The sequence below is a fragment of the Homo sapiens genome, chromosome 9 (genome assembly GCF_000001405.40).
Source record: "Homo sapiens chromosome 9, GRCh38.p14 Primary Assembly".
Classification (NCBI taxonomy): Eukaryota; Metazoa; Chordata; class Mammalia; order Primates; family Hominidae; genus Homo; species Homo sapiens.
Genome location: NC_000009.12, coordinates 76,666,541 through 76,682,500, shown reverse-complemented (window position 1 = coordinate 76,682,500; position 15,960 = coordinate 76,666,541). Strand labels below are relative to the sequence as shown.

Genomic DNA, 15,960 nt, shown 5'->3' with positions numbered 1-15,960 from the left:
AATCCCAGCTACTTGGGAGGCTGAGGTAGGAGAATAGCTTGAACCCAGGAGGCGAAGGTTGTTGTGGGCCGAGATCACGCCACTGCACTCTAGCCTGGGCAACAAGAGTGAAACTCCAACTCAAAAAAAAAAAAAAAAGTTAATAGTGATCATCCATAGTGGCAAAATTTAGGAATATTTTTCCTTTATATTTTCTATCATATATAATTCTATTTTTATATATAAAATATATGGTAAGTTTTCTATAAGTAAACTATGTTTTTATAATGAATAAGACTTTTTAAAAGTTTTTTTATTAATATCTCTGAGAAAATAAAGCCTCTTTTAAAGTCTAAATCACTCCGTCTACTGAGGGGCTTCTGGCTAAGATCAAGAGCCAAATCTCTTCTCTCTCCTAACATTTTTATCGCCTTCACTGTCTCCTGCTAATTCTGGTCTCCAGGGAGGTCTCATTTTGTCACCTCCTCTGCCTTTGCCACTTCCCATGACTCTCAGAGTTCCTCCTAATGTATTTAAAATACATCTTTAAAATATCAGCTTATCTTAAAAATAAACTATTTGGACTTTACTTAAAATTTCAAGGTGACATTGTGTCTTTAAAAAGATACACCCTGACTAGATTAGATTTAATTGCCAGTTTTTTTAATAACCTCTAGCTGATAAGAATTCCCTGAAAGGAGTTTTTAACATAAATCTGGGATCCTTTTACAAGTGTTTTATGTGACATTCTGAGATGATTTATTTCCACAGGCTGATAGGATATAGCTCCTTGTGGGAGCGGTTGAAGAGCACCTTTCTGGTGGTTCAGGGGTAAAAATGATGCCTAAATTGAAGCAGTGGTGGAAGCATCAGCTGTCCCAGGACATCAAGCTGTAGTGCACCTGGGTGGGCACCCACACAGTCGAGATCTTCACAGACAGATCCCACAGCTCTTAAGTGTCCCTGTCAGGCTGTCCACCTTCAGATTTATGATCCAAAGGTGGTTTTGTGAGCTTAGAAAAACCTATCTTGTACCCTTTCCCAGGGCACCTGCTTTTTTTTTTTTTTTTTAATCGTGGTAAGAAACACATAACATAAAATTTACCGTCTTAACCATTGTTAAGTGTACAGTTCAGTTATGGTAGGTACATTCACATTGCCGTGCCTAGATCTCCAGAACGTTTTCATTTCTTAAAACTAAAACTCAATACCCATTAAACAACATTTCCCCATCTCCCCGGCCCCTGGCAACCACCATTCTACTTTCTGTTTCTATGAATGTCACTGCTTTAGATACTTCAGATAGTGGAATCATACAGTAATGGTTTTTTGTTTTGTTTTTTCATGTGTGACTCGCTTATGTGACTGGCTGATTTCATTTAGCATGCTGTCCTCAAAGTTCATTCATACTATAGCCTGTGACTGGATTTTCTTCCTTTTTAAGGCTGAATAATATTTCGTGTATGCATATACCACATTTTCTTTATCCATTGATATGGTTTGGCTCTGTGTCCCTACCTGAATCTCATCTTGAATTATAATCTCCATGTGTTGGGGGAGGTGCCTTGTGGGAGGTGATTGGACCCTGAGGGCAGACTTCCCGCTGCTGTTCTCATGATAATGAGTGAGTTCTCACGAGATCCGGTTGTTTGAAAGTGTGCCACTTCCCCCTTTGCTCTCTCTCTTCTATTGCCATGTAAGATGTGCCTTGCTTTCCCTTTGCTTTCAGTCGTGATTGTAAGTTTCCTGAGGCCTCCCCAGCCATGCAGAACTCTGAGTCAATTAAACCTCTCTTTTTAATAAATTACCCAGTCTCAGGTAGTTCTTTGTAGCAGTATGAAAATGGACTAATACTTCCATTCTTCCATTAATGGGCGCTTGAGTTGCTTCCACCTATTGGTTATTATGCCTATAACTGCTATGAATGTGGTTGTGCAAATATCTCTTTGAGATCCTACTTTAAATTCTTTTGGACTTATAACAAGAAGTGGGATTGATAAATCATATGGTAATTCTATTTTTAATCGATTTGAGGATCCACCATCCTGTTTTTAAAAGAGGCTGCATCATTTTATATTCCCACCAACAGTGCACAAGTGTTCCAATTTCTCTGTATCCTCACCAACACTTGTTATTTTCTGGTTTTTGGTTTTTTGTTTGTTTGTTTTTTGTTTGTTTTTTTAACAGTAGCCATCCTAATGAGTATGAAGTGATATATCATTGTAGTTTTGATTTGCATTTTTCTAATGATTAGTGATGTGGAGCATCTTTTCATATGCTCGTTGGCCATTTGCATATCATCTTTGGAGAAATGTCTTTGCCCATTTCTTTTGCCCATTTTTTAATCAGGTTATGTACATTTTTGTTGTTGGGTTTCAGGAGTTCTTTATGTATTCTAGATATTAACCCCTTATCAGATATATGACTTGCAAATGTTTTCTCTCATTCCATAGGTTGCCTTTCACTCTTGATTGCATCCTTTGATGCACAGAAGGTTTTAAGTTTCATGTTGTCCCATCTATTTTTTCTTTTGTTGCCTATGCTTTTGGTGTCATATCCAAGGAATATTGTCAAATCCAATGTCATGAAGTTTTTCTTCTATGTTTTATGCTAGAAGTTTCTATTTTGGGTCTTATGTTTTTATTGCTAATCCATTTTGAGCAATTTTGGTATATTGCATAAGGTGAGGGTCCAACTTCATTCTTTTACATGTGGATATCTTGTTTTCCCAGCATCATTTGTTGAATAATTTCCCCATTAAATGGTCTCAGCAACCTTATCAAAGATCATTTGACAATATAGGCATGGGTTTATTTCTGGACTCTCTATTCTGTTCCACTAGTCTATATATCTGTCTTTTTATTTATTTATTTTAGAGTCTCATCCAGGCTGGGGTGCAGTGACATGATACAATCATAGCTCACTGCAGCTTCAAACTCCTGGGCTCAAGCAATCCTTCTATCTCAGCCTTCCTATAGTACTTGGGATTACAGGAGTGAGCCACAGTGCTCAGCTATATCAGTGTTTATGCCAGTACTATACTGTTTTGATTACTGTAGCTTTGTAATTAGTTTTAAAATTAGGAGGTGTAAGACTTCCAGCTTTATTCTTTTTCAAGATTGTTTTGGCTATTTGAGGTCCCTTGAAATTTCAAATAAATTTTAGAATAGATTTTCCTATTTTTTCAAAAAATTCCATTGGAATCCAGGTCACTTGGTTTTGAAAACCACTATTGTATTTAATTTTTAACAAAATTACTGAAATGATGGTAACAGCAATATCTAATCCTTATATGTCATCAGTCATGATTGGCAAGGCAGTGTTCCCTATCCCTACCTAAATCAACGCATTTAATCCTTACAACAACTTTCTAAGTAAGTAGTGTTACTTTTCGCATTTTACAGATAAGGAAACTGAGGCATATAGAAATTCTGTAACTCGTATAAGGTTGCACATTTTAAAAGGTCAGAGCCAAGATTCAAGTGCAGGCAGCCTGCCTCCTGAATCTTGAGGCTTTCTGGAATAAAAATACCACAGAGCAGTTCAGGCTGCATTTACTAGATTCTTGTTAGATGCAGTCCTAGCTGTCCGTAGAGGCCCACATATCTCTTGGGGTTATGTCTCAGACCTGTGCTTCTCGAAGGAAGGGAGGAAGGACTTTATTTATTTATTTTTATTTATTTATTTATTTTTTGAGACGGAGTCTCACTTTGTCGCCCAGGCTGGAGTGCAGTGGCACCATCTCGGCTCACCGCAAGCTCCGCCTCCGAGGTTCACACCATTCTCCTGCCTCAGCCTCCAAGTAGCTGGGACTACAGGCGCCCGCCACCACGCCCGGCTAATTTTTTGTATTTTTAGTAGAGGCGAGGTTTCACCGTGTTAGCCAGGATGGTCTCTATCTCCTGACCTCGTCATCCGCCCATCTCGGCCTCCTAAAGTGCTGGGATTATAGGCGTGTGCCGCCGTGCCCGGCCAAGGAAGGTCTTTATAATGCCCAAGAATCTGTTACAGACTCTGAGATGTCCTCTAGAAATGTTTGGTTTTGTATGTCTCATTTTGACCAAGAAATCTTTTCTTCTTTTCATTTTTTCTTTTTTTCCTTTCCTTTTTTCCTCCCTTCCTCCCTCCTTTCCCTTTCTCCTTCCTTTTTTTTTTTTTTTTTTTTTTTTTTTGATGGAGTCTCGCTCTTGTCTCCCAGGCTGGAGTGCAGTGGCACCATCTCGGCTCACTGCAACCTCCACTCCCGGGTTCAGGCGATTCTCCTGTCTCAGCCTCCTGAGTAGCTGGGATTAAAGGCGCCCACCACCACGTCTGGCTAATTTTTGTACTTTTAGTAGAGACGGGGTTTTGCCGTGTTGGCCAGGCTGGTCTCAAACTCCTGACCTCAGCTTCTCAAAGTGCTGGGATTACAGGCATGAGCCCCCAAGCCCGGCCAATCCCCAGAGAATATAATATATGATGCTTCACAAACTTAATTGGCATAGAGCCTTTTGGCATAGATCTGTGGAGCTGGTTCTCTGGGCGCAGGCTCTGGCAAACGCTGGCATAAAGATATGACCAGTTGTTCCCCACTGTGTCCCGTTCGCCCCAGGATGGTTTGGAACACTCGAGTGCAAATCCTCGTGGGGTGTGGGGGAAGTGTTCCTTCTTATGTCTGCCCCGGTCAGTCCCAGGTTTGAGCTCATATGCTGACCTCGGGGAATGGATTCCAGGAATTTGCCCGGATCTTGCAGCAGGCCTGCTTCCTGGACTTCTCCAGGAAAGTCACTGGGGCCTGAGAGGTGACTCAATTTTCAACCACAGGCAGCGACTGTGTGGGAATGAAAAGATAAAGGAATTTAATGCTAGAGGAAAATGAGGAACAATGGACCCATCAGGAAGGAAATCCAGAAAATAAAAATGGGATGGTATCACCCAAAGGAGCGAACACTGGTGCACATATCTTCTGTTTATTCAGCAAATGTCCACAGAGGGCCGGCTGCCAGCAGCGCCCTCAGCCTCTGCGGCCCTTTAGGAGCTGACGGTTTGGTCATCCAGATGGAAATGTTTCATTCTCTGCCTCATTTTCCTCACCTGTGAAACAGGAACGGAAAACAATGCCTTAAAGGGATCCTATCAAAAACGATGCTAATTTTAAAAGTATAAAGGCTTTCGAAGTCAGAGAAATACTATGTGAAAATCAAGGAGTTTCTTTTTTCTTTAAGGACAAGAACATAAATAAAATAATGAATTTTTTTTAAGCAAATAATTTAAAAAATCCAAAACTGAAAAAAGAAAAGTAAATCTAACAAAATAGACAAAGCAACAGTAAAAGAAACCAAAGTGAAAAGACCATTGCAAAAGAGAAACTATTGAATTGGAAAACAGACTGCAGATATTGGAAAACAGACTGCAACGCAAGGATAGAATTAGATACATTTAAATCAACCTATTGCGAAAGATGAATCAGCCAAGCTATATACAGCAACTGCCATGAGAAGCAGGTGTGTCTTATTTATTTTAAAATACCCACTGTTTGCACAGATCGGACCTTCAGAAAATATTTGTGAAGATGAACAAATATAATAGACATGTGGACAGTGGGAACAGCAGGACCTCCATAATGATGGATTAATCTGAGCTCGGGTTTTTCTGGCTTTCTTTTTCAATGGTAACATTTCAGCTCATGTGCTTCGCTATTTCTGCTGCTTCCTACACTTTATTTTGGAAAATGTCAGGAGCCCCGATTATGTGGCAGTGGATGTGACATCGTAATATTGCTACTGATAAACAACTGAAATTACTACTTACTAGGCACTTCTTTTTTTCTAACATTAACTTGAATTTGCCCAAAATTCCTAGAAGTGCATAGAATCTTAATATTTTCAAATTACCTTTTATTTGAAAATGTTGCCACATGTTCATATTTTAAAAATTGAAACACAGAAAAGTAAGTGAATCAAATGTAGGAATTCCTTTCGCCCCTGTACCTACTCCACATAGGTAACTGCTATTAACAATGTATTCTTCCTAGATATTATCCATATCTAAAAATGCATATAAATGTATATAATTTTATGGAAATAGTATCATTCTAAATGTACCATTTTGTAACGAGTTTTCATTAGATACGTCTTAAATACCATTCTATGTCAATACATTTAGATTTTTTTTTACATTGAAATACCATAATGTGTTTCATGCTATATTTAATCATTCCCTTACTGATAGGCATTTAGATTAGCACTTACATTTTTGTTAAAAAAAAAAAATTTGAGTGGAAGATTTTTTTTTTTTTAATGTTTTCACAAAGTTTACAAATTCATATCGGGCCATATTCAAAGCCATCTGCAGCCGCAGGTTAAACAAGCTTGATTTAGAGTACTTGCATAATTCTGTTTCTTGTCAACTGTTAATGTAATTTTAATTTATTAAAAATATTGGCTATTAGTTTTTTTTGTTTTTGGTTTTTTTTTTATTATACTTTAAGTTTTAGGGTACATGTGCACATTGTGCAGGTTAGTTACATACGTATAGATGTGCCATGCTGGTGCGCTGCACCCACTAACTCGTCATCTAGCATTAGGTATATCTCCCGATGATATCCCTCCCACCTCCCTCCATCCCACAACAGTCCCCAGAGTGTGATATTCCCCTTCCTGTGTCCATGTGATCTCATTGTTCAATTCCCACCTATGAGTGAGAATACGCGGTGTTTGGTTTTTTGTTCTTGCGATAGTTTACTGAGAATGATGGTTTCCAATTTCATCCATGTCCCTGCAAAGGACATGAACTCATCATTTTTTATGGCTGCATAGTATTCCATGGTGTATATGTGCCACATTTTCTTAATCCAGTCTATCATTGTTGGACATTTGGGTTGGTTCCAAGTCTTTGCTATTGTGAATAATGCCGCAATAAACATACGTATGCATGTGTCTTTATAGCAGCATGATTTATAGTCCTTTGGGTATATACCCAGTAATGGGATGGCTGGGTCAAATGGTATTTCCAGTTCTAGATCCCTGAGGAATCGCCACACTGACTTCCACAATGGTTGAACTAGTTTACAGTCCCACCAACAGTGTAAAAGTGTTCCTATTTCTCCACATCCTCTCCAGCACCTGTTGTTTCCTGACTTTTTAATGATTGCCATTCTAACTGGTGTGAGATGGTATCTCATTGTGGTTTTGATTTGCATTTCTCTGATGGCCAGTGATGATGAGCATTTTTTCATGTGTTTTTTGGCTGCATAAATGTCTTCTTTTGAGAAGTGTCTGTTCATGTCCTTCGCCCACTTTTTGATGGGGTTGTTTGTTTTTTTCTTGTAAATTTGTTTGAGTTCATTGTAGATTCTGGATATTAGCCCTTTGTCAGATGAGTAAGTTGCGAAAATTTTCACCCATTTTGTAGGTTGCCTGTTCACTCTGATGGTAGTTTCTTTTGCTGTGCAGAAGCTCTTTAGTTTAATTAGATCCCATTTGTCAATTTTGGCTTTTGTTGCCATTGCTTTTGGTGTTTTAGACATGAAGTCCTTGCCCTTGCCTATGTCCTGAATGGTAATGCCTAGGTTTTCTTCTAGGGTTTTTATGGTTTTAGGTCTAACGTTTAAGTCTTTAATCCATCTTGAATTGATTTTTGTATAAGGTGTAAGGAAGGGATCCAGTTTCAGCTTTCTACATATGGCTAGCCAGTTTTCCCAGCACCATTTATTAAATAGGGAATCCTTTCCCCATTGCTTGTTTTTCTCAAGTTTGTCAAAGATCAGATAGTTGTAGATATGCGGCGTTATTTCTGAGGGCTCTGTTCTGTTCCATTGATCTATATCTCTATTTTGGTACCAGTACCATGCTGTTTTGGTTACTGTTGCCTTGTAGTATAGTTTGAAGTCAGGTAGTGTGATGCCTCCAGCTTTGTTCTTTTGGCTTAGGATTGACTTGGCGATGCGGGCTCTTTTTTGGTTCCATATGAACTTTAAAGTAGTTTTTTTCCAATTCTGTGAAGAAAGTCATTGGTAGCTTGATGGGGATGGCATTGAATCTGTAAATTACCTTGGGCAGTATGGCCATTTTCACGATATTGATTCTTACTACCCATGAGCATGGAATGTTCTTCCATTTGTTTGTATCCTCTTTTATTTCCTTGAGCAGTGCTCAAGTGAGTGTAGTTCTCCTTGAAGAGGTCCTTCACATCCCTTGTAAGTTGGATTCCTAGGTATTTTATTCTCTTTGAAGCAATTGCGAATGGGAGTTCACTCATGATTTGGCTCTCTGTTTGTCTGTTGTTGGTGTATAAGAATGCTTGAGATTTTTGTACATTGATTTTGTATCCTGAGACTTTGCTGAAGTTGCTTATCAGCTTAAGGAGATTTTGGGCTGAGACAGTGGGGTTTTCTAGATATACAATCATGTCGTCTGCAAACAGGGACAATTTGACTTCCTCTTTTCCTAATTGAATACCCTTTATTTCCTTCTCCTGCCTCATTGCCCTGGCCAGAACTTCCAACACTATGTTGAATAGAGGTGGTGAGAGAGGGCATCCCTGTCTTGTGCCAGTTTTCAAAGGTAATGCTTCCAGTTTTTGCCCATTCAGTATGATATTGGCTGTGGGTTTGTCATAGATAGCTCTTATTATTTTGAAATATGTCCCATCAATACCTAATTTATTGAGAGTTTTTAGCATGAAGGATTGTTGAATTTTGTCAAAGGCTTTTTCTGCATCTATTGAGATAATCATGTGGTTTTTGTCTTTGGTTCTGTTTATATGCTGGATTACATTTATTGATTTGCGTATATTGAACCAGCCTTGCATCCCAGGGATGAAGCCCACTTGATCATGGTGGATAAGCTTTTTGATGTGCTGCTGGATTCGTTTTGCCAGTATTTTATTGAGGATTTTTGCATCAATGTTCATCAAAGATATTGGTCTAAAATTCTCTTTTTTTGTTGTGTCTCTGCCTGGCTTTGGTATCAGAATGATGCTGGCCTCATAAAATGAGTTAGGGAGGATTCCCTCTTTTTCTATTGATTGGAATAGTTTCAGAAGGAATGGTACCAGTTCCTCCTTGTACCTCTGGTAGAATTCGGCTGTGAATCCATCTGGTCCTGGACTCTTTTTGGTTGGTAAGCTATTGATTATTGCCACAATTTCAGCTCCTGTTATTGGTCTATTCAGAGATTCAACTTCTTCCTGGTTTAGTCTTGGGAGAGTGTATGTGTCCAGGAATTTATCCATTTCTTCTAGATTTTCTAGTTTATTTGCGTAGAGGTGTTTGTAGTATTCCCTGATGGTAGTTTGTATTTCTGTGGGATCGGTGGTGATATCCCCTTTATCATTTTTTATTGTGTCTATTTGATTTTTCTCTCTTTTTTTCTTCATTAGTCTTGCTAGCGGTCTATCAATTTTGTTGATCCTTTCAAAAAACCAGCTCCTGGATTCATTAATTTTTTGAAGGGTTTTTTGTATCTCTATTTCCTTCAGTTCTGCTCTGATTTTAGTTATTTTTTGCCTTCTGCTAGCTTTTGAATGTGTTTGCTCTTGCTTTTCTAGTTCTTTTAATTGTGATGTTAGGGTGTCAATTTTGGATCTTTCCTGCTTTCTCTTGTGGGCATTTAGTGCTATAAATTTCCCTCTACACACTGCTTTGAATGCGTCCCAGAGATTCTGGTATGTTGTGTCTTTGTTCTCATTGGTTTCAAAGAACATCTTTATTTCTGCCTTCATTTCGTTATGTACCCAGTAGTCATTCAGGAGCAGGTTGTTCAGTTTCCATGTAGTTGAGCGGTTTTGAGTGAGATTCTTAATCCTGAGTTCTAGTTTGATTGCACTGTGGTCTGAGAGATAGTTTGTTATAATTTCTGTTCTTTAACATTTGCTGAGGAGAGCTTTACTTCCCAGTATGTGGTCAATTTTGGAATAGGTGTGGTGTGGTGCTGAAAAAAATGTATATTCTGTTGATTTGGGGTGGAGAGTTCTGTAGATGTCTATTAGGTCTGCTTGGTGCAGAGCTGAGTTCAATTCCTGGGTATCCTTGTTGACTTTCTGTCTCGTTGATCTGTCTAATGTTGACAGTGGGTTGTTAAAGTCTCCCATTATTAATGTGTGGGAGTCTAAGTCTCTTTGTAGGTCACTCAGGACTTGCTTTATGAATCTTGGTGCTCCTGTATTGGGTGCATATATATTTAGGATAGTTAGCTCTTCTTGTTGAATTGATCCCTTTACCATTATGTAATGGCCTTCTTTGTCTCTTTTGATCTTTGTTGGTTTAAAGTCTGTTTTATCAGAGACTAGGATTGCAACCCCTGCCTTTTTTTGTTTTCCATTTGCTTGGTAGATCTTCCTCCATCCTTTTATTTTGAGCCTATGTGTGTCTGTGCACGTGAGATGGGTTTCCTGAATACAGCACACTGATGGGTCTTGACTCTTTATCCAATTCGCCAGTCTGTGTCTTTTAATTGGAGCATTTAGTCCATTGACATTTAAAGTTAATATTGTTATGTGTGAATTTGATCCTGTCATTATGATGTTAGCTGGTTATTTTGCTCGTTAGTTGATGCAGTTTCTTCCTAGTCTCGATGGTCTTTACATTTTGGCATGATTTTACAGTGGCTGCTACTGGTTGTTCCTTTCCATGTTTAGTGCTTCCTTCAGGAGCTCTTGTAAGGCAGGCCTGGTGGTGACAAAATCTCTCAGCATTTGCTTGTCTGTAAAGTATTTTATTTCTCCTTCACTTATGAAGCTTAGTTTGGCTGGATATGAAATTCTGGGTTGAAAATTCTTTTCTTTAAGAATGTTGAATATTGGCCCCCACTCTCTTCTGGCTTGTAGGGTTTCTGCCGAGAGATCCGCTGTTAGTCTGATGGGCTTCCCTTTGATGGTAACCCGACCTTTCTCTCTGGCTTCCCTTAACATTTTTCCTTCATTTCAACTTTGGTGAATCTGACAATTATGTGTCTTGGAGTTGCTCTTCTTGAGGAGTATCTTTGTGGCGTTCTCTGTATTTCCTGAATCTGAACATTGGCCTGCCTTGCTAGATTGGGGACATTCTCCTGGATAATATCCTGCAGAGTGTTTTCCAACTTGGTTCCATTCTCCCCATCACTTTCAGGTACACCAATCAGACGTAGATTTGGTCTTTTCACATAGTCCCATATTTCTTGGAGGCTTTGCTCATTTCTTTTTATTCTTTTTTCTCTAGACTTCCCTTCTCGCTTCATTTCATTCATTTCATCTTCCATCGCTGATACCCTTTCTTCCAGTTGATCGCATCGGCTCCTGAGGCTTCTGCATTCTTCACGTAGTTCTCGAGCCTTGGTTTTCAGCTCCATCAGCTCCTTTAAGCACTTCTCTGTATTGGTTATTCCAGTTATACATTCTTCTAAATTTTTTTCAAAGTTTTCAACTTCTTTGCCTTTGGTTTGGATGTCCTCCTGTAGCTCAGAGTAATTTGATTGTCTGAAGCCTTCTTCTCTCAGCTCGTCAAAGTCATTCTCCATCCAGCTTTATTCCGTTGCAGGTGAGGAGCTGTGTTCCTTTGGAGGAGGAGAGGCGCTCTGCTTTTTAGAGTTTCCAGTTTTTCTGTTCTGTTTTTTCCCCATCTTTGTGGTTTTTATCTACTTTTGGTCTTTGATGATGGTGATGTACAGATGGGTTTTTGGTGTGGATGTCCTTTCTGTTTGTTAGTTTTCCTTCTAACAGAGAGGACCCTCAGCTGCAGGTCTGTTGGAGTACCCTGCCGTGTGAGGTGTCAGTGTGCCCCTGCTGGGGGGTGCCTCCCAGTTAGGCTGCTCGGGGGTCAGGGGTCAGGGACCCACTTGAGGAGGCAGTCTGCCTGTTCTCAGATCTCCAGCTGCGTGCTGGGAGAACCACTGCTCTCTTCAAAGCTGTCAGACAGGGACATTTAAGTCTGCAGAGGTTACTGCTTTCTTTTTGTTTGTCTGTGTCCTGCCCCCAGAGGTGGAGCCTACAGAGGCAGGCAGGCCTCCTTGAGCTGTGGTGGGCTCCACCCAGTTCGAGCTTCCTGGCTGCTTTGTTTACCTAATCAAGCCTGGGCAATGGTGGGCGCCCCTCCCCCAGCCTCACTGCCGCCTTGCAGTTTGATCTCAGACTGCTGTGCTAGCAATCAGCGAGACTCCGTGGGTGTAGGACCCTCCGAGCCAGGTGCGGGATATAATCTCGTGGTGTGCCGTTTTTTAAGCCCTTTGGAAAAGCGCAGTATTTGGGTGGGAGTGACCCGATTTTCCAGGTGCCGTCCGTCACCCCTTTCTTTGACTCAGAAAGGGAACTCCCTGACCCCTCGCGCTTCCCAAGGGAGGCAATGCCTCGCCCTGCTTCGGCTCGCGCACGGTGCGCGCACCCACTGACCTGTGCCCACTGTCTGGCACTCCCTAGTGAGATGAACCCAGTACCTCAGATGGAAATGCAGAAATCACCCATCTTCTGCGTCGCTCACGCTGGGAGCTGTAGACTGGAGCTGTTCCTATTCGGCCATCTTGGCTCCTCCCCGAAGATTTTGTTAAGTCACTGAATGAACAACTAGGGTCCAAGGCTGAGGGCAAAGTGGTGCAAAGTACTCTTTATCCCAAAGAGAGAGAGGGCAAGAAGCTCTTGGCAGTTGGGGTAGATGCTTCCCTGAAGGCTTCTTAAAAGGTGACTCAGATTTACCCAACTCAACCCATTCCATGTGAGCAGAAGACTCGGGAGGAGTGAGGGAATTATGAAGTCATTGCCTTGTTAGGAGTACTGGGGTGCATCCCTTTCTGCTCCTCCAAAGCCAAGTGAGGGTTGCCCCAGAAGAGTCCTGGGTAAAGAGTTGGAATTCCTTCCACAAGGAAGACTGGCATCTCACGCCCAGTTGGAAGTCAGCTTAGACTGGACTGTGGGTCTGCCCTGATCCTGCCTGAGCCAATGAAAACAACATTCGAGGCTGGGCATGGCGGCTCATGCCTGTAACCCCAGCACTTTGGGAGGCTAACGTGGGTGGATCACCTGAGGTCAGGAGTTCAAGACTAGCCTGGGCAACATGGTGAAAACTTGTCTCTACTAAAAATACAAAAATTAGCTGGGTGTGGTGGCCCGCAGCTGTGATCCCAGCTACTCAGGAGGCTGAGGCAGGAGAATCACTTGAACCCAGGAGGCGGAGGTTGCAGTGAGCCGAGATCACGCCACTGCACTCCAGCCTGGGTGACAAGAGTGAAACTTCATCTCAAAAAAAAAAGAAAAAGGAAAAGAAAAGAACATTCTTGAGAGGGTGGTGGTGGTGTGACCTTGTACTGTGTGTGATCTTGTACACAGTGTGATCACTGTGTGGAGGGACAAGGTGGTATAGGTGTTCTGTGGGTGCAGTGACCCCATGGACAGTAGTAGATTTGAGTCATTTTGTAATATCCCACCTGTTATGCACTGAATTGTGTCTCTCCAAATCCATATATGTTGAAGTCCTATCTTCTATTTGGAGATGGTTTCTTTAAAATGAATTCATTAGGGTAGGCCCTAATCCAGTAGGATTGGTGTCTTTATGAGGAAAAGAGATTAGGACATGCACACACACAGAGGGATGACTGTGAAAACAGAGAGAGAAGATGGCCATCTTCAAGTCCAGGAGAGAGGCCTCAGAAGAAACCAACCCTGATGACATCTTGATCTCAGACTTCCAACCTCCAGAATTGTGAGCGAGTAAATTTCTGTTGGTGAAGTTACTGTGTGCGATACTTTGCTATGGAAGCCCTCCAAACGACGATGCCTCCCAAGGTGAGAAGTCCCCAGCCAGAGGCAGTGCCAGGAGCTGAGGACAAAAGGAAGATGTGGAATGAAGCCGGTCCTCCTGTATCAGTGAAGTGTACAGTGGGGAGGCCCCACAGGCCCTCAAGGAACTCCTACAAGTTTCCAACAGAGGGAGGGGCTCCCAGAGTTCAGGCTGGGAAGAGGAGTGAGAGAATGATCCAGGCCTCTCTCCAGCTTCCACCTCACCCTCCCACCCAGGCCCTTTTCACAGATCAGAATCCTGGGGTAAGAGGAGGAATGGGAGAACCCTTCCTATCCCAAATTCCCTGAAGCACAGCTTTGGTTGGCCCAGGTAGGAGAGTGAAGGAGATAGAATTTTTAGATGAGAAACTGGATGTTTTAAACTAGATTAGATTTTAGTAATTGAAAGTAACAAGATAGCATGATGTAGGGAAGGAAGATTCAGCATAGCACAGTTGGGAAAATCAGAGATCTGAGAAATTTTTAATTATTTCGTGTTTGCATGATCATCAAATTCAGACTGTTTTTGAAAACCCTCCAGTTTTGTTTTTGTATTTTTACAGTAAACATCTTTTTACATATATCTTGGTATATACCTGTGAGTATTCTGCACTATATATTCTTAGAACAGCTGGTCAAAGGCTATGTGTATTTAAAATTTTGATGACTACAACCAAAAACTGTACCTCAATTTATATTCCTTATAGAAACACATTTGGGTGTACCACTTGCACCAATATGAGAGCTTCACAGTTTTAAATATATATTCAACTTTAAGAAAATGAAATGTTATTTAAGTTGTTAGACTCTAGGACAGCGGTTGTCAAACCTCCCCCTACGCTACCCACCAAGCCCAATCCAGTCAGCCACCTATTTTTGTCCATAAAGTTTTATTGGAACACAGCCATACCTATGCATTTACATATTGTCTATAGCTACGTTTGTGCTAGGACAACAGAGCTCAGTTGTTGCCACAGAAACTGTAGAGCATGTAAAGCCCAACATATTCAGTATCTAGCCCTTCCAGAAACACTGTGCTGATTCCACCTCCAGAAAAGTCAAAGGCAACCCTCCCATGTCCTGCAGATTAGCAAATATAACTGCTGAGCAGCAGTTGAAGGAATATCTTATCTATGTGTGTTCCTGTGGTTCATATTTCTGGTGCCAGCTTGTCCAAGGCATTTGGATGACTTCACACTCTTGAACTACTTGGGGCAGGAAGTCAGACTGCAAGAGTGCAGCTTTGCATTGCACTGTGGGGAAGGGGACCCTTTGTGAGCTTATCTTATGGGCAGGAGGGTGGGGCAGGCAGGCAGTCTTCCCAAAGTGTAAATCCCAGGAGATGCTGAGCAGGTGAAATGGGGGCTGCAGATGGCAGGAGCCTATGCTGCCAGCCCAGCCAGTTCTGCTGCTCACTTGGGCGTCCTGCAGATGCTGGCATCCCTGGCATTGAAGATTGTCTCCAATTCTGAAGAAAAACAATGGTCTACTTTTCCCCCTTCCCTTCGGAAGAACCTCATTCTTTCAAATTCACTCCCAGTTGCTCCTAATATTATCAAAGAGCTTTTACTGTTGGAGGAGAGAGCACAATATGTGCCACACCAGAGAGTGACCGTTGCCTAATTGGGTTCACAGTGATGACTTCTTTGTAAAACACTCCCATAAGCATCACCTATATTTCTAAATTATGTTTTGACAAAAGCTAAACTTCTTATCAAAAGGAATTTGTTGGAAGAGAATTTTCTTTTTTTTTGTGACAGAGTTTCGCTCTTGTTGCCCAGGCTGGAGTGTAATGATGCGATCTTGGCTCACCCCAACCTCTGCTTCCTGGGTTCAAGTGATTCTCCTTTCTCAGCCTCCCAAGTACCCGGGATTACAGGCATGCACCACCACAGCCGGCTAATTTTGTATTTTTAATAGAGACAGGGTTTCTCCATGTTGGTCAGGCTGATCTCTGTAGGGTCCAGCCCCACAGGGTCAGTGGGTTTTTCTCCCTGTGTGCGGAGACGAGAGATTGCAGAAATAAAGACACAAGACAAAGAGATAAAAGAAAAGACAGCTGGGCCCGGGGGACCACTACCACCAAGACGCGGAGACTGGTAGTGGCCCTGAATGCAAGGCTGCACTGTTATTTATTGGATACAAGGCAAAAGGGGCAGGATAAGGAGTGTGAGTCATCTCCAATGATTGACAAGGTCACATGAGTCACGTGTCCACTGGACAGGGGGCCCTTCCCTGCCTGGCAGCCAAGGCAGAGAG

At 41.6% G+C, this 15,960-nt stretch overlaps 1 protein-coding gene and 1 long non-coding RNA gene across 45 annotated transcripts in view, besides 1 other annotated feature; one reads left to right on the top strand and one right to left on the bottom strand.

Annotated features, from left to right (window-relative positions):
* Nucleotides 1-15,960, top strand: part of PRUNE2 (prune homolog 2 with BCH domain) — a 294,739-nt gene that overhangs the window by 223,614 nt on the left and 55,165 nt on the right. The window lies entirely within an intron of this gene.
* LOC105376095 (uncharacterized) overlaps nt 4,795-15,960 on the bottom strand; it is an 84,799-nt gene continuing 73,633 nt past the window's right edge. For all 3 annotated transcript variants that reach the window (XR_007061588.1, XR_007061590.1, XR_007061595.1), the window contains one exon: nt 4,795-5,052. This is a non-coding gene — a long non-coding RNA (uncharacterized LOC105376095). The remainder of the gene's footprint in view (nt 5,053-15,960) is intronic.
* Nucleotides 12,125-12,738: an enhancer, noted in NCBI's record as "H3K27ac-H3K4me1 hESC enhancer chr9:79284679-79285292 (GRCh37/hg19 assembly coordinates)". NCBI's record gives its function as "activates a minimal SCP1, AML or CMV promoter by ChIP-STARR-seq in primed H9 embryonic stem cells {active_cell/tissue: H9 hESC(primed)}" and the evidence as "EXISTENCE:reporter gene assay evidence [ECO:0000049][PMID:30033119]".